The 22,867-nt window shown below is 42.2% G+C and overlaps 1 protein-coding gene across 79 annotated transcripts in view; it reads left to right on the top strand.

Moving 5' to 3' along the window:
- Nucleotides 1-22,867, top strand: part of SORBS1 (sorbin and SH3 domain containing 1) — a 249,599-nt gene that overhangs the window by 163,359 nt on the left and 63,373 nt on the right. For 27 of the 79 annotated variants that reach the window (NM_001384455.1, XM_017015539.2, NM_001384448.1 and 24 more), the window contains 5 exons: nt 730-793; nt 13,728-13,775; nt 13,899-14,028; nt 16,214-16,328; nt 21,957-22,040. In NM_001384455.1, the coding sequence (NP_001371384.1) occupies nt 730-793; nt 13,728-13,775; nt 13,899-14,028; nt 16,214-16,328; nt 21,957-22,040 (441 nt within the window). Of the gene's footprint in view, nt 1-729; nt 794-2,937; nt 3,013-3,339; nt 3,403-10,893; nt 11,023-13,727; nt 13,776-13,898; nt 14,029-16,213; nt 16,329-21,956; nt 22,041-22,867 lie in introns of all 79 variants that reach the window. The other 52 variants (NM_006434.4, NM_001034957.3, XM_047424475.1 and 49 more) reach the window with 8 other exon arrangements.

Raw genomic sequence — 22,867 nt, 5'->3', positions numbered from 1 at the left:
TGACAGAATGGTCTGTCTGACTCCCAAACCCTTACCCCTAACCGTCACGTTGGATGGCCCTTCCACTCACCTTCTCATCAGCTCTGTGACTTTGGGCAGTTTGCTTTGTCATTCTGTATCTCATTTCCTCTTCTGTAAAGTGGGAGTGAAAATATCTAGCCACCTATCTGTCACCTTCCTTGTTTTATTTTTATCTTAAAAAAAAAGCCCAACCATTCCAACTTTGTGGTTAGGGTGAAAACTCTGGCAGTGGATGCTATAACGAGTTATGTTTTAATGTATGCATTCTAAATCTGGCCCTATGCAAGGTGACTCGGATACATTGCTGTTGAATAATCTAGAATGGTTGGGGGCACAGCATGATAAGCAAATATCCTTTGTCTCTTATATTTCTAGGAGACTTTCCTTCAGTTTGGCACAGTCTATATATGGAGAGATTCTATCTAAAAGTGAAATTTTAAAAATTTAAAAATGGATACCTTTCAAGTGTATCCTCATCCACTGTTTTCAAAATCTGTATCCTTTCAGCCAAATATTACCCTGTAGATTGAGGTTTGGGACTCTTGGTTTTTCTCTTTCTAAAAAGTTTTGCCTTTTTAAAAAAGATAAATGTGGCTGAGTTTTGAATTCAGATATTGTTACTTTCCATTTTGATTTTGAAATCATAGGAGGTCTGAAATGTGTCAAGATAGTCATTTAATTTTGCTCTTTGCCTTTGTTTTTCTACAGAACACTGAGAGATCAAAAGACTGGTACAAGACTATGTTTAAACAGATCCACAAACTGAACAGAGGTACTGATTTTCATTTGTAGAAGCTGTGCTGTGCTATGTGCCAATACACGTTTTGTGGGCCTGAACTCACTTTGCTAGGATGCCAGAAGACTGGGTCCTGCAGTTGGACCTCATTAGGTACTGGTCTGCCTGAGCCCAGCCATGCACCTTCAGAGCACAGGAGGGAGGAAGCACTTGTGTGCCTGCCTCAGAGGTGGAATTTGAGATCTGCTCTCAAATCCTTCCTCCCAGATGTGGAATGCAGCAGGCTGAGCCCAGCACTCTGCCTGTGCTCCAGCATCTGTCTGCCTGGGATGTGAGCAGCTCCATCACCCACCTGCTTCCAGCTTTAGGTACATCTCCCTGTGTCAGCCCATGACTGCCTTGTGGGCAGAGTGAGTTGAGAATGCACTGAACTGGGAATTAAGAACACTGTTCTCTGGCCGGGCGCGGTGGCTCAAGCCTGTAATCCCAGGACTTTGGGAGGCTGAGGCGGGTGGATCACCTGAAGTTAGGAGTTCGAGACCAGCCTGACCAATGTGGAGAAACCCCATCTCTACTAAAAATACAAAATTAGCTGGGCGTGGTGCCACATGCCTGTAATCCCAGCTACTTGGAGGCTGAGGCAGGAGAATCACTTGAACCCGGGAGGCGGAGGTTGCGGTGAGCCAAGATTGCGCCATTGCACTCCAGCTTGGGCAACAAGAGTGAAACTCTGTCTCAAAAAAAAAAAAAAATGTTCTCACCTGGATTGAGTCCCCCAAGCACTCGGGTAACCTTGGACCAATCATGTACCTTTCTGTGTTTGTTCTGCTTCCTTTCCTCCGGAGAATGTCACAGGTCTAAAGGAGAACACATTTGGCCTTGTGAAGTAGAATGCATAGTACGCCTCTCAGGCTGTGTTAATACGAACAATAATCTGCCCCAGCTGAGAGCCAGCCCTTGGCAGGTAGCCCTGAGAGTCAGTCAGGAGCTGACACACCAAAGCCCGCTCAAGCTGAAAGAGCAGCACTTCCAAATCAGATGCCGGCTGGGCTATCAGCAGGTGACCCAGCATGGAGAACCGCAGGCCAGTGCTTGGGCAGGACATGACCCCACCGGCTCCCATCGCTGCCTGTGCCGCCAGTCAGCTGATAGGCGGGATGCAGCTGCACTGTGGGAAGGGTACCACTTCTCCCACAGGCAGAGCATCCTGCCCTTCCCCTTACCCACATCCAGTCTGGCTGCCTGTCATGGATGACACATGAAGGCAAAGAGAAAGTGTTCTGGTCAGTGTTCCCACCTAAGTGCAATCTCTCTGATGAGCTGCGGATGCCAGCTAACATCACTGTTAATTAACTCCTGCTGGGTTCAAAGTGAACCTGGGTGTGCCCCTGTTCAAACTGTTTCTAAATATCGAAGTGCTCTAAATATTGAGGCGTTTAGCATTTCCAATGAAGAGTAAATCCGCTGTGGTTGGGTGGATGAGCGTGGTCACAGTGGTGAAACTAAATGCTTGGATTTCTGTGATCAGATGGGGTCATCTCCACTCATCACTTCCTGAAGTCACTGCCCATTTCGTCTTGCAATCTGTGACTCTCACCTTTAGACCCAGCTTTGGAAGCCTAACTGCAGAGACATTAATGCATGTAAATGTGCAAAATATGTAATTTTGCCCCACAGGCAGCTTTGGTGTTCTCATGTTATAGTTCTTAATCTAAATTGTAGGTGCTAAACAAAACTACCTGCCTTAATGGTAGGCAGAGGTATTTGAAAAATTAATGATCTACTTGTTTGCTGAATGTCCACAATACAAGCTTTGATTTAAAAAAATCATGTTAGGATAGCATGTTTATTACATACTATTTATTATCATACTTAATATTTCTTGCCTATCAAAAGTAAAAACCTGATGCTTTATGTTAAATGTTTCTTGCCCATTGGAGCCTGTTCATGGCAATTCTTTGTCCAAGAAGAGTAATGGTATTGTCTCTTTCTATGTGTCTCGGTAATTCAGGCAAAAGGACTGGATTTTTAAAAGCAGTTTGAATTTCTTTCATATCACTAGTGAAGCTTAGTATGTTCCAGAATTCAAGGAGCCTAAATTGTATGTGGATTCCTACTCGTTTATTCTCTCCATTTGTATCTTCCTCTATTCTCTCTCCCAAACCTGCTCCTCTGCCTAGACACTCCTGAAGAAAACCCTTATTTCCCTACGTACAAATTCCCTGAACTTCCTGAAATCCAGCAAACTTCCGAAGGTACCATAAACTTAGACAGCATATCTGTTGTCCGAGCTTTAAATTAATTCTTATAGTTCCATTGTAGGCATAAGATTTGGGCTTTTAGATTTTATTTTCATAGTCATTTTTGGCTGGTGAAAATTTTATTTCACTCATTTGCATGATGTGCTATGTTAAAATAACTAAATCCTTTCTAATTCATTAATCTATTTTTAAGTGTGATGCCTGTGTGCTTTAATAACACTAAAATAGGTAATCAGTCATTCGAAAGAGTCAATTGGGATTTGTCACTTCCTCTACTTCCTGGTGGATAGTTTCAAAATCCACTGCTTTTCTCTGCTACAGAGGACAATCCTTACACTCCCACCTACCAGTTTCCTGCATCTACTCCTAGTCCTAAATCTGAAGGTAATTAAAGGAAAATTGTGTGCCTCTCCGTACTGGTGCTGCTACTTTCTTTTTTACCTTGGGGTTTTTCCTGGTGGCTAAGGGCTGTTTCCCAGTCATTTGCTTCCCTCTAACCTTGTGTTTTGTGGTGGTGTCTCACTCCTTGCTGACTGTATCACCGGAGTCTATCCAGATGGTATTTTAGTCCTATTCCCCTAGGGTTTACATGATTAACGGGGTAGCCAGTGTTAGCTTAGTTACAATGTTTTGAACATGTGGGGCTCTGGTCAAAGCTGCCTTTACCCAACTACCCAAGGCTTTGTACCTGAGGTGGTCACCTGATGCTGGTGGTTGAGCAGTGACTCAGGGAAGCTGAGTCATTATAGCGGGTGGGCAGGAGGTAGATCTGTAACCGTCAACAGGAAAATTACCCAGTTCTCATGCCTGCAACTAACTCTTTTCATGGGCCCTCAGGGTATCTCTCTTTGGTAGGGAATTCCTAAAGAGGTATCCAGGTATAAGATTCAGTCATAGTGGGAGATGACATTTCTTGAAAATAAGGGTTTTAGCTAAGCTGGAAAACATTTAATGAAAGAGCTGGATAGGAATTTGTACCTGCTGGGGAAGACAGTCACATTTGTGTCTAAGAAATATTATTTCTGGGGAAAAAGTCTAAATGTCAAGGAAGTTTCTAAAATGTGAGTTAGGGGCAACATCTTGAGAATTATCCTAATAGCAGGGATTATCTGATCTTTGGATGAGTAATCCAGATGAGGGTGAATAGATACGGTATGGAGGAGGAAGTTTTGTTAAATACTGTTCTAGGATGAGATGTTGAGTGCTCTGAACTTCATTCATTCAAGTAGTATTGAACACTTGCTGTGTGCCAGGCACTGTCGTTGGAAGTAATGCCATGAATAGGACATGTACCCCATCCTCAGAAGTTCCCATCTGGCAGAGAGTTCAGCAAGGTCACTTCAGCTGACTGAGTCCAGTGTGGGGGCAGTTGTGAGAGCGTGTGTCCAGAACGCCACAGAAAACCTTGCCGGCACACAGTGGGCCCTCAGCAATACCTGGAAAACAGCGATGATGAAGGCTTTGGACTGTGGAGCCAGAGTTCTTTCTTAGGGATGAATGCCAGTGCCACCATCTTGATGCTTCTCTACTCTAATCTGCTCAGCAGACCATCCCTCTCAGCCCTTCTCATCATTGGTAAAGTTGTTCATTCAATCATTCACCAAACTCTTACTGATCAGTCATATATGAGATGACACACTGGGATGTGTTGGATACAGTTAAAATACCATAGGCCATTTTTGGTCTCTCATATGCCCCAGTAATTGGTTTCCAACCATTTCATACCTGGGGCCTATTTTGAATGAAAAGAAAGGTCTACCAAACAAACCCAGACTTACAGAACTAAAAGCTGATAATTTAATTCTGATCAGTGTCTTCCTCAAGGCCAAGAAGAGTCTATTTGGTGTAGAGAGCGCAGTCTTTCTGTCTCATGATACTGATTACCACACAAAAGCATTGGTGAAGAAACAACTGACTGAGTTGAGTTAGGGAGTTTTTTCAGAGTAATTTTGACTAGTTGCAATTTTCGATTTGTGCTTTATTTAGACTTGCAAACCCAGCCAAACTCGTAAGATAAGAGTTTCCTTCAAGGCAACAAGCACAGAGCATGCAGAAGGCACAGTATCCCACGGACACAGGCAAAGGAAGGCCCACTTGAAGAAATCCTGTGGAGAGGAACAGTGGCTCCCATCAGACTGGAAGACTGCCTTAGGCCTGCCACAGGCAGCACCCACAGCTTCCACAGTCAGCTTGGCTGTTGGTCCAAAGACAGGGTTTCATGGCCGCACAGCCAGAGCTCCTGTGTCATCAGCCACCATACCTAGCAACCCCTGCTGACGATCACGTCTGATTTTTGGCATGCATCAAGTCCAGCATATGGGGAACTGGATTTATTTTGCATAGAGGCATAAACAGTAAGGGATGTCATGATAACTTATCACATATAATTTAGAAGCAAACCTTACTATTTTTTTATTTTCAGAGACCGAAAGGAAGAAATAGTCTTAAAGAATAAAAAGGAAAAAATTAGGTTGGATATAAAAAAATTAATAGCAAAGATGATTAGACTTTAACACAAGTTTCTAAAAAGACATCCTCCCTGGAGATCTTTTAAAAATAGGGTAAATTCCATCTCACGCCCCCACTCCTGCCTAGATGACATATCCGGGCATAGATCACTGATGTATTCAATTAGATCAAGGCTTCTTACAAGTGATGGAAACATTTGAGCTAGATCATTTAAAATAATCACAGGGTTTTTGGTTTTGAGGTTTTTTTTTTTTTTTTTTTAAACCATTTCAAGAGAGTCTCTGGATTTCTTGATCCTTGATTTGTGGTTTTCATGTTGTCTGTGAGCTCCAGCAGGGCCTCATCAGCCCTGTCCGTGGTGCTGCTCCAGCTCTGTGCTCCCCGATAGGTGGCCCTGCGCTCTATGCACATCCTTCTTAACATAGGAAAGATGTATGCCTTTCAAAGAAAGGCATTCAAGACAGATCAGCACCAAGTGGAGGCTCTACCCACAGATGTTAATGTGCATTAAGAAACAGCGTTACTGAGAAATCTGAGCCATCATTCCAGAGTCTCTCTCCTGGGGAGAAGTTTGTTTTTACTGCTGGGTTTTTTTGTTTGGTTTTAATTCAGAATTTGGAACTAGAATTATTTGTAATAAACCTATCAAAGCCTAGCCTAAGGGCTGCCATCTCTGTCTAAATTCTAGTTGTTTATACAGTATAAAAAAGACATTTCTAAAGCTCTCAAAGCTGATCCTCCTCAATAGTAAGGGACTGTGTGAAAGTTTGTTTATGCTGGCTTAGCAACCTTCTTTTTTCCCCCAGCTACAGTGAAAAAGCAAACTTTTGGCCAGACTTTTAGACTATAAATAGAGTTATCATGTCTCAGTCAATGAGGGTTAAAATGTTCTTTTTAAAAAAAGAAAACTTTGGAAATTCCAAGAAGGGGCAGTCACTTTTAATCATTTTGTAATCTTGGAGACTGCTGTCTACGGGATGGAAGAGATGTTAGCAGAAGGGAGGGGGCAAACTGTGCAGAAACAGCTTCAGAAATGCAGTCCCCCACTTTCTTCCCTGCTGCTTTAAGGAACAGCAGTGTGGTGGCCAACATCTCAGCAGCCCAGAGTGGTAATCCTATTAATAATAATAGTCTTATAATGACATAACCACCACCTCAGTGACTATGTGGCTGTCATTAATTGAGCCCTTGCCACATACAAGTTTCTGTGCTGAATATATCACTATTGTTATCTCATTTTCATTCTCCCAGCAGCCCCATGAAGTAACTCTTCATTTTATCAATGAGGAGTATGAGGTTCAGAGAGATTAAGTAATATATGCAAGATTACACAGTAAGTAGCAGAACCAGGATTCAAACCTAGGTGTTTGGGGCTCCATTAACACAGGCTTTTACTCAACGCTGCTATACTGCCCTGCAGATTCCTTTCCCCTTCCTGACTCTGTGTTCTTGCTTGTCCCCTTCTTGTCCAGAGGCTCTCTGGTATCTGACTGCAGGCATTCAGCTTCCCCTGAGTCAGTCCTGCCTCAGTCTGCTAAGCCAGTACCTCCCAGATGGTGCCTGGAAATATATAGTTAGGGACCCAGCACGGTGGCTCATGCCTGTAATTTCAGCACTTTGGGAGGCCGAGGTGGGCAGATCACCTGAGGTCAAGAGTTCGAGACCAGCCTGGCCAACATAGTGAAACCCTGTCTTTACTAAAAATACAAAAAAAAAATTAGCCAGTGGGCGTGATGGCAGGCGCCTGTAATCCCAGCTACTTGGGAGGCTGAGGCAAGAGAATCACTTGAATCTGGGATGCAGAGGTTGCAGTGAGCCGAGATCGCACCACTGCACTCCACCATGGGCAACAGAGTGAGTCTCTGTCTCAAAAAAAAAAAAAAAAAAAAAAAGAATATATAGTTAGGAAAACTCCTCAAGTGATTGACAGACAGGATTGAGAACCACTGGGATGGGGAAATACCACTCTTCCCAGCCCCCAAAAAGAGATGAAGAAAATTGGCCAGATGCAGTTTTGGGAATATGGATATAGGATGAGAATGGAGAATGCAGATTTTATAGAATTAGCGCCCCCTACTCTGAACACGCCCAAATGATGTTGGCTCACTTGGCACATTTGATGTCAAGAAGAGGGAAAATATTTTCAAATAATGGCTCAGAATTTGCAGCAAAACCAGATAACTGGTATGTTACTTCATGGTCCGTGGCTTCTCCTGACTTTCCGTGACCTGTGAGGACCTCCTGGACCATGTCAGTGAGAAGGCGAGTCCAGGTGAAGCCCCAGAGACCAGCTTTTTTCCCATGCTTTGTGATGCCTCTTCTACCACTTCAGGCTGGTGGTGGCCACTGCCACCTCTCGGTGATGTCACTCAAGACACCACCTCTAGGCATCCCCAGGTTGTGGTGTCAAAATGGTCTGTCTCAGTGCTTCTTCCTCATTCCTAGAAGAGATTGCACTAAGGCAAGGATTTAAAGAGGTGCATCTTCTCAGGCACAGCTGTAGTTGAGTTAAAATAATTCTCTACTGGCCTTACAGGATTTGTAAGAATAGCTTTGTTTTGTTTGAGTTCAAGCAAATAATTCTATTGTGAAGATGCTTGGCCGGGATCTGTGCCTCCTGCCCCAGACTCCAGCCAGTACTGCCCAGGGGAGAGTCTGAGTCGTTCTCCTAATGAGAGCTTCCCAGGAGATCTCCGCCTAGCAAGTGCAAAAGGCATTGACTGGCCTGTGGGACAGTTAAGAAACGGTAGCAGTTACTCCCTTTCCACCTTCACGGCCCAGGAGTTCGATAGCAGATGAAGACGGTGAGTCTTCTTCTAACCCTATGGTTCTCCCAAACTTTCTCCTTTAACTTATTTTTTGCCCCACCTCATTCTCTTCTTCAGAGTTCTATTTTTTTCTCTGTGTCTTCTATAACTACTGTACACCCTATCCTGGTCTTTTTTTTTGCATTCTTTAGAACTTGATTGCCACATCTGTAATCCCAGCTACTCAGGAGGTCAGGGCAGGGGGATCACTTGAGCCCAGGATTTTGAGGCTGCAGTGAGCTACGATCACACCACTGTACTCCCTCCAGTCTGGGCAACAAAGTGAAACCCTGTCTCTTAAAAAAAAAAAGAACTTGATGGCCTTTAACTAAAACATAGACAGCTTTGTAATGCTTTCCCCCAAGCTCTCTGGGCTTCCTGACGTCCTTGCCCTTTTGTTTGTTCTTCCTTTCCCACCCCACCCAGACTCAGTACCCAACTCTACATCTGTGTCTTTTCCCCTGACTACTATTTTTGTTCATGGGGGTCATGTATGACTATCTTTACCCTTTTATCCTTTCTCTTCCTAAGTGTGGGGGGTAAAGCCAGAGGAGGATTTAGGTTGAGCAGTGGAAGAAAGATTGTGTCAAAAATGAGCCATTAATATTTGGAAAATTGTTTTAAGTTTAAAGGCCTGAGAAATGCATAAAATTGAAATTTAATTGATATAGGCAAGTGGTTATGCAAATGATTTTTGCCCATCCTCCCATTTTAGTCAGGCAATTTTTTAGAACAACTTTCAACAACTACTTTCTTCAGTTGTCTTTGAGATTTTTATAAATTAAAGAAAAAGAAACAGGAAAAAAAAGTGATTTGGAAGCTCATTTAAAGTCACTGTGGTTGAAAAGGCAATTATGTGGCTCCTGGCAGTTGTAGGAGAGTGGCTGTCCCCAAATCGAGCTACCAAGGACAGATTGCCAAAGCCCAAGAAGAATCATTGTGTAAACATTAGAGCTCAGCTGGACCTTCAGAGGCCTAAGTGAGTTGTTTACCCTGTGTAAATCCCATGCAGTGTTACAGCTTCCTGCAAATCACTGGCATAGGAAGGTCTGAGTGTTGCTGCCAAGGTTTGATGTCTGCTGCTTGGAGCTCTGAGGAGCACAATTAGCATGTGGTTCCACCATGAGCAGAAACCACAAGATTTCTGCACAGCTGAGCCCACTCTAGCATTGTTTTAAAGGGCCTTTGGAGAAATACTGAAGGCCGAGCTTCAGGTGCTAGGTAATAGACAATTTGAGAAACATTTCATTTAATGTGTCTTAACTATATTGAGCACACTTGTCCCATTTGGCTGGCTCTAGTGTGGAGAAATGCAGACATGCTCCTTACACTGTTTTCCCATTCCTTGGTATTTCTAACTGCATACCCATCATCCCCAGTGTTGACTTAGCCTCCCAGGAGAAGGCAGCAAGGAACAGCAACTATTAATAGAAGGTGTAGAGGCCGGGCAGTGGCTCATGCCTGTAATCTCAGCTCTTTGGGAGGCTGATGCGGGTGGATCACCTGCGGTCAGGAGTTCGAGACCAGCTTGACAAATATGGTGAAACCCCATCTCTACTAAAAATACAAAAACAAGCTGGGCGTGGTGGCAGGAGCTTGTAGTCCCAGCTACTCGGGAGGCTGTGACAGGAGAACTGCTTGAACCCGGGAGGCAAATGTTGCAGTGAGCCAAGATCGCACCACTGCACTCCAGCCTGGGCAACAGAGTGAGACTCTGTCTCAAAAAAAAAAAAAAAAGAAAAGATGTAGCAAGAGTGACTCAATGTTATCCATTGTCCCTGGAGACCAGCAAGAGGAAAACTAGAAATGTGAGGCAACTCAGAAAACTTGCTTAAACATCACTGAGGGCGAGGGGATGCAAAAATCGGGCAAAGGCTTCAGGGGCTGGAAATTGGCCTGGCCAGCAGTGCAGTGCATGCCTTGAGTTTCAAGACAGCATCTTTCTCTGCCTCTTCCATAATAACATGGTAATAGAATAGCCAGTCTTTCAGCTTTCCCAGGATTGGGCAGATGAAGCTGGGGTGAAAGAACACAGTAGGCATCTCTGTCACGGGGCTACTAGATGACATAGGGAAGTGGAATCTGAAAGACCTTAAATCCATTTCTGCTTTGTCTGTCTCACTCTGCAGCTAAGGGCAAATCTTCTCAACCTACTTGGGCTTTCATTTCCTTGTCTGTAAAATGAGGTATTTAGTTCCTCTTGGAGTTTTTTGCAAGGGTGAAGTGAGATGACGTTAGTAAATTACCAGCCATTGTTAGTCACTTAATACTGGGAGCTACAATTATTATTTTTATTCATAAGCTGAGGTAAAATATCCTTCCATTAGATTTACAAGACAAGCATCGAAAATTAAAATAATGGATTTTACAAGCCCTAGAACTTGTCCTGTGTTATAGTTGTTCAGATGAATCTGTATGACTTGTTTGTCCTGTTAAAAGTTCATGAGCTGAAATCCACATATCAGAACCTGTGGACCCTTTGGGAGAAATGAAAACTTGTTCACAGATACTCTCCTGCCCTGTGTTAGCCTGGCGTGGGTGAGATTTCTCTACTGACACTGAATAAGAAACAAGTGTTTTTTGTTTTTTTTTTCTTTAGAGACAAAGTCTTGCTCTGTCATGTCACCCAGGCTGGAGTGCAGTGGTACAGTCATAGCTCACTGCAGCCTCAAACTCCTAGACTCAAGCAATCCTCCCACCTCAGCCTCCCAAGTAGCTGGGACTGCAGGTGTGTGCTGCCATGCATGGCTAATTTTTTAAAAATTTTTTTGTAGAGATGGGATCTCGCTATGTTGCCCAGGCTGGTCTTGGGTTTCTGGCCTCAAGCAATCTTCCCGCCCCAGCCTCCCAAAGCACTGGGGTTATAGATGTGAGCCACCAGGCCCGTCCAAGAAAGGAGCTTTAAGCACATTCAGTTCTTCAGACGCCTCTGTTACCTGCATCCCCCAACTCCAACTTTCCTGCTTCTCCCTCTCCTTTTCAAAGTACATACATTGTTAAACTTCCCAAGTAGTGCTGTTTTTTTCCGCATCTTATAAGAACTATTTCTCATTTTCTTCTTCTTACTTTTTTTTTTTCTTTTCAAGACAGAGTCTCACTCCATCAGCCAGGCTGGAGTACAGGGGCACAATCTTGGCTCACCCCAACCTCTGCCTCTGGGGTTCAAGCAATTCTTCTGCCTTAGCCTCCCAAGTAGCTGGGACTACAGGTACATGCCACCACGCCTGGCTAATTTTTGTATTTTTAATAGAGACGGGGTTTCACCATGTTGGTCAGGCTGGTCTCAAACTCCTGACCTCAAGCGATACACCCACCTCAGCCTCCCAAAGTGCTGGGGTTACAGGCATGTGCCACCACGCTCAACCAGTATTTCTCATTTTCTTCTAATAAACCTTCTAGAGTTCCACATTAGAAAGCTCTAGATAGAAACATTTTTTAAAGAGCTCAGGCTTAAAAAAAAAAAACAAAAAAACCTGAATATTTAAATGCCACTCCTCTCCACCCAGTGAAAACTTTGCTTCTTACTTCATGAACCAGGTAATAGTTATAAATTAACCTTCATCTTATCATCTACTGATAAGCTATAATTTCTCCATGATTCAGAGATGTACAGGGTTTTGAGCTAAAATGCTAGGCTACGTTTTAAGCAGTGCATACATCAGCTTCTAACTAGCTAACTTTTCATTTGGGCATTTTCATTGCAGCATTTTTTCTAATCAAGTCCCTGTAATCAAAGCTCATTTTTAGTTTTCTTTGACATCATGGCATTTTGTCAGTATAATCAGACGTTCTGTTTAAAAAAACAACTGTCAACACACAATTTTTCAGAATAATCTTTCAAAAAATCTTTTTCTGGATCCCACTTTATCTCTTTCCCCTGTTCTATTTTCAGAAGATAACATAAATAAGCTTACACACTCAATTTAAAATAGTGAAAGGCTTGGCTATGTTGGTAGAAAAAAACCTTAAGCCCTGTTCAACCTTGATATTGATAAATTCTTGAAAGTGAGGGAAGGAAGTAGGGGAAAAGGTACCTTGGTACCCGATGCCTGTCCCTTATGTGGGCCAAGGGAGACCTGAGACAAATAAAAATGGGGAAAAGAGGGGACAAGAAGGAGTGATTGTTAGAGAGGCTGTCTGAATAATGCTTTATCAAAATAATAGCAATGTTAGCTTATTTATATTTCATAAAATATTCTGGCCTTGTCTCTTCTGAAACTTAAAATGATTTGCATAGAAACAAGGACTTGATTAACACGAAGTCACCACCATACAGTGGATTCTTTGACTTGTCTTTGCAGGTTAGTTCATGTGCTTTCCTAAAGTTGTCATGAACTTTAGGGAAGGAATTGGGTCTTCATTCCATGTATGTGAATTTTGAATCCAGATTAGCAAGATGTTAGAAATGGGAAAGGCTAACTATTTCAGACTAACTCTTTTTGGTGTAGTGCTTTGGAGGGACCATCATGGATGTAGTGACTAGATAAAGTGCATTTTCAGGACAGTCCCACTTTAAAAACCTGTTCCCATCAATGTGCCTGTGGTCTGATTTTTAGTTCAGAAGATACAGCCACTTCCACAAGGGCTTCAGGTCTTGTATAGGTTCTGCAAGTTTTAGAACCCAGTGTCTAGCCTACGTAGGAATGTGTGTCATGCCTTTGGAGAGCCACCTCCCACCATAGAGACACGCGTGAGTTTGATTTGCTCCAGAGATGCAGTTTAGATACTCACTCCGAGTAGTACCTTTGCAGAGGAAGCCGTTTGACGATGGGTCTGTTGTGTTCCCAGGAAACAAATCTACTCAGGGAACCAGATTGAGGTGGAATCAAAACAAATTTTGATGAGGGTTTTCTCAAATTCTTCTCTTAGCTGCAGAACTTCTTTGTTAATGATGTGTATGAAAGCTTACCATATAAAACAGGTCAAAGCTGAGGCAAGAAGCTAGAAAACCCACCCTCTGGGCCTCTCCTTCCCACCCAATAGCAGCCCGAGGCCCCGGTAAGAGGCCTTTCAAGACACTGTTGAACTCGGTGAGCTTAACCGTACACTGAGCTGGTGCAGCCGGGGATCCATCTCAGCCCCTGCTTCCCACTCAGCCAGACCCAGACCCTGCATTCCAGCTTTGGTTGTGTGGATTCTCTAGAGAAGGACCCTTGGCTGTTTGTCCCCATGCATTTCTTGATGTCAGGCAGCAGCATCTGCCAGTTGTGACTGTCCTGCCTGGACTACAGGTTTGGTTGGGTGTGCCCTACAAACCTTGCTCCTCTCAAACGTGCTCTGCCGTGGTGTAGCTTCTGGCGCTTCACTCTTCTGTCCGCTGGGATCCCTAGGGGGGCTGGATGCTCGTACCAGACTGTGGAAATGGGGAACATACAACTTGGTTCTCTTACCTTAGCCAGACTTCTCCTGACTACATTTTGTTTTGTTCAATAGATGATGATTCAGATCTGTACTCTCCCAGATACTCATTTTCTGAAGACAGTAAGTGACTTCAAATAACCTGGTTGTGGGGGCGGAAGGGAAAGTGGTGGATGAGGGAAGATAATTGCCCTGTTCTCAGTTTTCATGAGTTTTAAGTCTTTTGTCTGCACTGTCTTTCTCCAGCAAAATCTCCCCTTTCTGTGCCTCGCTCAAAAAGTGAGATGAGCTACATTGATGGTGAGAAGGTAGTCAAGAGGTCGGCCACACTACCCCTCCCAGCCCGCTCTTCCTCACTGAAGTCAAGCTCAGAAAGGTAAGTGCCCGCTTGTCTCTCATTCATTCAGCCTGGGCCTTGTTGTTCATTGAGACCTAGGAGCCTCCATTCTTAGGAATGTGGAATTTGAGTCTGTCCCTTGTCACCTATTAGCAGTGACTTATTTCTTAGCCTCAATGTCCTCCTCTGTAAAATGGGGATAAAAATAGCATGATTCCTAGTAAGGATAGTGCAAGGTTAAAATGAGATAATACCTGTAAACATTCCTGGTAGCACTTAGCTCCTAGTATGGGAGCCAAGTTAAGAGTATGGGCTTAATTAATATTGACTATCATTATCATAACTTTTTGCATTTTCACAAGAGAAATCTTAACTGCAAGATTTGTCACATGTTGTCATATTCTTTTTGCATACTGTGTTCACATATTCATAGCAATGACTATAACTTAAAAAGAAGCCACACTTTTTAATGTCCATTTACTCATGCAACATGTATTATTGAGACATAAGCCTTGGACTTGTTCTAGTGACAGCATTAATAAATCTCTTAAAATGCCTGCAGCAAACAAAACAGTTTTCTTTTTCTTGAGTTTTTTTTTTTTTTTTTTGAGACGGAGTTTTGCTCTGTCATCCAGGCTGGAGTACAGTGGTGTGATCTCGGCTCACTGCACCCTCTGCCTCCCAGGTTCAAGCAGTTCTCATGCCTCAGGCTCCCGAGTAGCTAGGACTGCAGGTGCACACACCACTCACGGTTAATTTTTGTATTTTTTTAGTAGAGACAGGGTTTCGCCGTGTTGGCTAGGCTGGTCCCAAACACCTGACTTGAGTTCTTATCTCTAAAAATGCCCTCTGAAGCAATCTCCTCATGCTATTTGGACAGGAGTTCCATGCATCTTCTAGCCCCAACTTACACCACTTCTCAACACACAAAAGGCTCTGGCCAAACAAAATTATTTACTTCTTCCTTAAATACACATCCAATTTCACACCTCTACCTTTTCCAACCTCACAGACAAATTAATGGCTGTTTTTAAAAGCACCACACGAACTTAAGTGGCCTCTACCTGAGGAGTTTGATAATTAATTTGAAAAGAAACCTGGGTATACCCACAAATCCTTTATAGTTGCCTTCATCCAGAACCCACTGGGTGTATTCCCTGCAGATTTAACCATATATCATGGAAGGATATAGGTATATATAAATCATTGTCTCTGCCTTCAAGAAGTTTACAGCCTTGCATGAAAAACTTAATCACAGTGCAAAGTACGGTAATGCACAAATAAAAAATTTGCAAACTAGAGCTTATAGTAAACAAAACAGCTTGGTACTAGCATAAAAACAGACATATAGACCAATGGAACAGAATAGAGAACCCAAAAACAAATCCACACACCTATTGTGAACTTATTTTCCACAAAGGTGCCAAGAACATACATTGGGAGAAAGACAGACCCTTCAATAAATGGTGCTGGGAAAACTGGTTATGCAGAAGGGTGAAGCTAGACCCCCATCTCTCACCATATACAAAAATCAAACCAAAATCAATTACTGACTTGAATCTAAGGTCTCAACCCACAGTTACCTCTTCCCTATTCCAGTGTGGAACAGGGAAGAATGCAATTATGGTAGCAACTGACATTTATTGTGTGGTTACTATGGGCCTGGCACTTTGCTCAGTGATTACATGTGCTGTCTCATGTAAATTGTTTAGTCCTTACAACAACCCCATTTTTCAGATGAGGAAACTGAGATACCAAGAGGTGAAATACTTGTCTAAGATCACCTAGTTAGCAAGGGGTGTGGCAGGATTTGAACCACAGTCAACTGGCTCCAGGACCTGTGTTCTCTCTCACTGCTCTAGTGTGAATGGGAAGTACAGGCATGTCTGTGGAATGAAAAGCCCATAGAGCGAAGCAAGGTGAAAGATTTTTCCAGAGCCAGCTTTGCTGCTGCCGCCTCTGTTCCTGTTGCTTTGTCCACTCCCCTTCCTGGTGCCTGGTTTTGAGCACAGGACATCTCAAGCCTTGTGAGAAGCGAACACCAAACTTTAACTGGTTGTTTTGAGAAGCAAACCAACACAACTAAATTGTTCACCCTGACTCCGATGTTATGCTTTGGATATAACAGTTCTTTGATTACACTACAGCCATCCAAAGTCAGACCGTGTCGGAAGCTAATGCCAGTTGTCATGAAAATAGCTCTAATAGAATTTTCTTTCTGCAGAAATGACTGGGAACCCCCAGATAAGAAAGTAGACACAAGAAAATATCGTGCAGAGCCCAAGAGCATTTACGAATATCAGCCTGGCAAGTCTTCCGTTCTGACCAACGAAAAGATGGTAATGTGCATATTAAAGTTATTTTGTCTCACCGTGCCCATGTTCTTTAATCAGAATGCATTGTGCAGTTGGATTACATTCTTTCCCCTTGAGATAGACTTAACTTTGTTTTGAAGATAATGACAAAAATGAAGTACTTTTACCCTTTTCATTTTTGCAGGTGTTCATAAAATAAGTCCCGCGAGTCTGCTTTTAAAAAACCCTCTTATTGTGGCTCTGTTGCTTTTTTTGTGCATGGTTTTAACTAATATTAATTTTTCTACTAACATAAAGATTGATTTTGCTGCTGTCTTTTTTTGAATGTCTAAGTGTTCATTTATCAGGCTTGTCATTAAGTGGACTGAAGTCCAGTTTTTTTTAAGTGACTCTGAACAGGCATAAATTTTGTACAAGTTACTAGAATGTCATTAAAAGCTACATAACTAATAGGATGTTGTGACTTGGAAAAAAGGCCCAGGCTGTTAGAATATATCCTTTAGGTCTTCCTTTTTTGACAAGTGCAATATTGAGGACAAATTTCATATTCGACCTGGTTTATGATTCCCTATACAAGTTTACATCTCTAAGCAATTATGAGTGGGGAAAATGGTTTGTATGCATATAGCAGACCACCCTGGAAAAGCGGCCTCTTCTGTGAAACAGGAAGAATTCTTACACATTGATTAGTTTCATACCTGCCAATCATGCATCCTTTTATTAACCCTTCATTGGGAAAAGCTGTTTTGGAATTGTGATCCTGGTTAAGGGGTTCTCCAAAGCTCCATAAACATTGCAGTCCTCCAGCAGGACAGCAGGATGGAATTATTATGCTGGAGTTTGGTTTTTATTAAAATACGGTCACCACAATGTCTACAGAATAAGCAGGCCTCTGAAATGCAGGCTCAAATTATGTTCCCTCCGCCTCATCGGCTCTACATGTTTTGAAAGAAGAATCGATTTGACTTCTACTGAGATAAAAATGTGACATCTCTAAAAGCACTGAAGGATAAGTCATTTTAATTAGGAAAAAAGGTCAACAGGTCACAGAAATACTTAGAGTTGTCATTCTTCAGCGTTCACTATGCACCAGTTATTTCAAGCAGAAAGTTCAGAGAGGAGCACAGAATTTCGCCTTCTCCCCACTACTGCCCTTCTTTGGAGGTTCTCTGCTGTTAGAAGATACTGTACGTAAGAAACATAGAAGGTAACCTTGCACCCAGGTGCTCCTGCAAAGAAAGTCGTGCTCCTTGGGTTTATTTCCAACACTGGGACCCACCATTACATATTAATACATTTAAATGATTTCAGGGACTCTGTAGACCTTTGAGTGTTTTTGTTTTGGCAGTATTACCATTCATAGATTTTCATGGCTCTTACCGAAGGCTCCCTTTTCTTAATTTCTCCTTTGTTTCCAGCTCCTTTCCCTGGTTCTTAGTCATTTAACCACTACTCAGAACTAGGAAAAACAACATAGTTTAGTTTTTCTCATTGATACCGCAATAGTTTACCAGGATCTTCCATACCACAGTTCTTGGGATCATTTACGTTGTTTTTACAAACCCTGAAAAGTAACACATAGTGCCCCACGGGGCCTTCTTGGAGAATGGTGGTGAGCACGTACATGGATTGCAAAGCTCCTCTGTGTAGTACCAAGCCCTAAGCCAAGCCACTAATGGGGCATGAACACCAAAGGCAGGCCAAGGAGGAGTAGGAATGTCCAATAGTTTCACCCAGTTTAGCTCTGTTCCTCCAAAGAGAAGTTTTAGTTGAATCTTAATCTTTTGACAGTCTGCCCTTCACAGTAGTTGAATTCATCCTTTATGTTTGATTTTGTTTCCTGCTGTTTTTATCACATGGACAGAAAAGGTGAAGTGTGAGTTTCAGCATGTGAGTCTTGGCTTTTGGTATCTAGTATCTGGTTTGCCAGAATTTGAGCATACACCCCCATCGCCCCAAAACACACACTTCCGTTGTTAACTGTGGGTAAGTATACTAACTAGTGACAGATGTAGAATGTAAGTCTGCTCTCAGATATGCACTACCTCATTTTAGGAGAAAAAATGCTTTTTCCATTTGAGGTACTTACGTCTGCTTAACTCTGGCAATTTAAATTGTGACTTCATAGGCACATCTATGCATGGTTAGCAGGAGAGGTTGCCCTAGAGCTCACCTTGCCCTGGAGCATACTCTAAATCATTCCAGAAAGATGAAAGAAACACTGTACTGCCTTCAAAACCCCCTACAGAAGACTTACAAACTTGATGACCTAGTCATCTATTTGAAAGACTCATATGAAGGTCTTTTTTTTTTTTTTTTTTTTTTTGTTGAGATAGGGTCTCACTCTATCACCCAGGCTGGAGTACAGTGGTGTGATGATGGCTCACTGAAGCCTTGACCTCCCAGGCTCAGGCAGTCCTCTCACCTCAGCCTCCCAAGTAGCTGGGGCTACAGGCACGCACCACCATGCCCGGCTAATTTTTGTATTTTTAGTAGAGATGGGGTTTCACCATGTTGGCCAGGCTGGTCTTGAACTCCTGGCCTCAAATGATCCACCCACCTCTGCCTCCCAAAGTGTGGGATTACAGCCATGAGCCCGTGCCTGGCCCAGCTAATTTTTTATTTTTTGTAGAGATGGGGTTTCACCATGTTGCCCAGGCTGGTCTCAAACTCCTTGGCTCAAGCAATCTGCCCCTCTTGGCCTCCCAAACTGCTGGGACTACAGGCTTGAGCGACCAAACCTGGCACGTATGTGGGTCTTTATCTCTACTTGGTCCCCTCTTATCATAGTAGGATACTTTTTTCTCTTCTAGCCTTGGAATTGGAGATCTATTGGTCAGTCCTTGCTTTGTCAGAAATGGCCTTTTTCAGGACTCATTCTTTTATACCTTCCTCTAAGTCTCTTACAGAAGTTCAGTTCAGTTAAATATATACATACATACATACACACACACACACACACACACACACATATATGTAGTAGGACGGACAGATATTAAAAGAGGGATTACAGACACAGTGTACATTTTAGAAGTGTAAAACAAGGGGATTTCCCCAGCTTGGTTTCTTCCCAGTTCATCCTCACTTTGTGTTCCTTTCCTGGCTTTTCAGCATGGTCATTTAGCCCTGCTTTAGCTTGGTGTCATCGCAAACTTAGTGGGCCTGCCCCCCTGTCATGTGGAATATGAAAAGGGGAATATGGTATAGTGTAAAGAACACTGGACTAGGAATTGGAAGATGGGGTGGGTCAAATGTGATAATATGGGTACAATAACTGAATATTATGAAGTGCTACACAGACATACCACATTCAGGCGACTTACTTAATTGGAATTTGAAGCTGGTCTCTGGCTTCCATTCAAGAAGCAAAACTGTCTTTGAGGAGAAGTTGGCATTTTTCTGGTGAGTTACCTGCCCTTTTCCAAGGATTTTTTTTGAGCTGGGAGAATAGCCTGTGGTACTAAAGAACTTTGCCAGGCATTATGGAATTTTTCCCTGTCTGCCAGGCCAGAGTTCCTGCTCTGTGTCCAGAAGGATGTTTTTCTATTGGTCTGTTCCATAACAGGATCCACAGCTGAGTTATACTTGGCAAAATCAAATGCAGATGTGAGGGCTGTGTGGTATCACCTTTTTAGCTTTATCTCTGGGCAGCTCAAAGGACTGAGGCTGGTTGCTCTCACCCATCGCTGTTTGACATAACCTCCTGATTCTATTATTGTCACAGCATTAACCTCCACAGTAAAACGATCTGCAGACAACCTTTGGGAATAAAATAAGTTAATTACTTCAGGATCATGAGTACCAAAACTTTCAGGCAGTTCCCCGAAAGAGCTGGTACATTTTATTTAAGAAAAAAAAAAAAAAAGCCTAACCATTCCCAGAGGGCAGTTTATAAATAGTCTTTGTAAAAATAACAAACATGAAATAGATTCATGAAACCCCATCATATTAGGATCTAGAAACTCCCAATGTCTAAATTGCCACTACTGAGTAGTTGTGTTTTTGTAGGTATTGTACCTCCTTTCACTGAATTGAATAAATATAGAATCCATTTACTACAGGGAGGGCAAGGCTTCTCCTTCAGGATTTAAACCGTAAGTCCCTAAAGACATTTGGAGGAAGTCTTATCTGGATGCAGGAGGACAGACCTTGTGTTTCAGTATGATTTTCCCTCCGATTTCAACCTAGCTTGGTTTCAGTTAAAAGAAGGTTCCCTGCCATATTTCCATAGTCCTCTACCTGTAGCAAAAGTGAAAGTAATGCTAAAGATTCTTTTAAAGATCTTAGAAAAAGGGATGGTAAAGGTCACTAAGAAAGTTAGCAGCCATTTTTCTACAAGCTGCAAAGGGGATGTTAACTGTGTTGTAAGTAAAGTACAAGAAGAGCTGCTTTGTGAAGCACTAGCATTAAAGACCTGCACACCACACATGGCAACCCCCTCCCTCAGGTGTTATAGCCCAGAAGTAGTGAAGTTTGTTGTGCAGTGTTTTCAATCTCAGTAGAAAGTGTATGCATTTTATATTTCAGGTTATTGTAGAAAATCACCCCAACTCTCTTTTTGCGATTATCAATGTTTTTTGAAACATATATACATACTTAATTAGTCATGAACCTCAAACACTTTTCCCTGATGTAAACATTTCTCCAATTTATGAAGGGGAAAACATGATTTGCTTTGCACACATTCATTTTCCAACTAGTTATTTCCAGAAACACGTGTTATTCCATGAAATAAGGTGCCAGAACTTTATACTTATTTGGTTAAATATTATATCCCATGAAATCAAATTATCAGTCTATTGATACCTCATAGTGTTATATAAAGTGAGAAATCTAACTTATTTTTGTCATATAACCCAGAAGTTTTTTTCCCCTTTGTTCTGTTATCTGTCTTGTCTAGCTTTTCTTTCACTTTATTTTTTCCCAATTCTTTAACATTTATTTGTTAAAACACGAAGTATATTCTGTCTGTATTCATCCGCCATGGATACTTGTTTAAAATGTTTTTTCACTGTGTCCTCTGTCTTTACTTATATCATTTTTCACTTTCACTTTACTGTGTACGGGACATGGTTTCCTACCTACTCATGTGCCATTAAAGATGCAGTATTAACCAATTGGCTTTTATAAAGTGTCAATATTTGTGTTTATTTCGAAAACCTTAAGGCAGCTTTGCAAATAAGTACTAAAGTTGTACTAGCCCATAAAAATCAGCTCTACTCAACTGGCATAGATGGCTAAATGTTTGGTGTGCTCACCAGGTCATTTGCTCATAACTAATAGTTCTTTGTAAAGGGCTTTCTTTTCTTCCACATTACTGAAAATTATTGCAGAATGCTGTTATGCCCAGATTCAGACTTGTTGTGTAGGCAGCAGTGTGGTGCAGAGTTGTCCATCTATAGTCCATTTTCCTCTGCCTTAGGGCTGAGAATGATTCACTTACTGTTCCCTGCCTCAATTTCCCTGTTTTTATAAACCCATCCTCTCCCTCCTGTTTTTGCTGTTGTCAGTAAAAACAGATGATTGCTGCTGTTGAATGCAGCTCCTGTATATACCTGGAAACCACTGCATCTCTACTGGCCTGTTCCTATGTAATCTTTGCATAATGTTATCCTTCTCTTTCTTCCATTTCTCTATCACCAACCCCTATAGAGTCGGGATATAAGCCCAGAAGAGATAGATTTAAAGAATGAACCTTGGTATAAATTCTTTTCGGAATTGGAGTTTGGGAAACCGGTAAGTTTAATAGCTTCAGTGGTTATACACCTTTTAAACTAATGCTGTGGATGCGTTGTTGCTGCTAAAGAATCAGATGTTTGTAAGGAATTCAGAAAGTGGGGAGCAGTCATGTTGGTTGTCCGTAGTGGGATTGTCTCTTCTCACTACAACCTCTGAGCTTTCTTTTGCCTTACTTCACTGAGAAAGGATAGTGAGCTCTGGAAGTATATCTTGCTGGAATATCCCAGAGAAACACAAATAATCATTGCTTGTCTTAGACCTCCCCCCACTAACAACAAGTACCACATGCCTTGCGGATGGCATTATTTCAGCCATTGTTTTCACTTCCTTGACCAAAGTCTTTATGGTCTGTGAAAGACAAGCTGAAAATGTGTTACACACTGAGAAGACCAGCATTGTCTCTGCTTTAAATAGCATTTTTAAAAGCACATATGTAAATGAAGTCCCAGAGCAGGCCAACAAGGACCTCTTTGTGCAGATGTGACCCACAAATGCAACCCCATTATAGGTGACTTTTAGGGAATGATTTCTATGATGTAGGATATTTCCCAAAGTTTGAAATGGGAGTAAGGAATTCTAGCATCTTTAGTATTCAGCCTACAGTTGCCCCATGATATCTCTGAATTGGCTTTGGTACAAATTGACTTTTGGCACTTAAAGGAGGATTTTCTTAGCCTTGCACCCAAAGGAATATAAAATAGAAGGGAGAATTGAGCTCATCCTTCCTCTAGAGATAACGAAACTGACTTTAAAACTCTAGTTATTTTAAAGTCTTAATTATTACAGCTGCAAAAAGAATTTACAGGTAGAGGAGTTAAGTGTAT

This window comes from Homo sapiens, chromosome 10 (assembly GCF_000001405.40).
Source record: "Homo sapiens chromosome 10, GRCh38.p14 Primary Assembly".
NCBI classification, from domain to species: Eukaryota; Metazoa; Chordata; class Mammalia; order Primates; family Hominidae; genus Homo; species Homo sapiens.
Note: the sequence above shows the minus strand (reverse complement) of the source record. Positions and strands in the feature narration are given on the sequence as shown.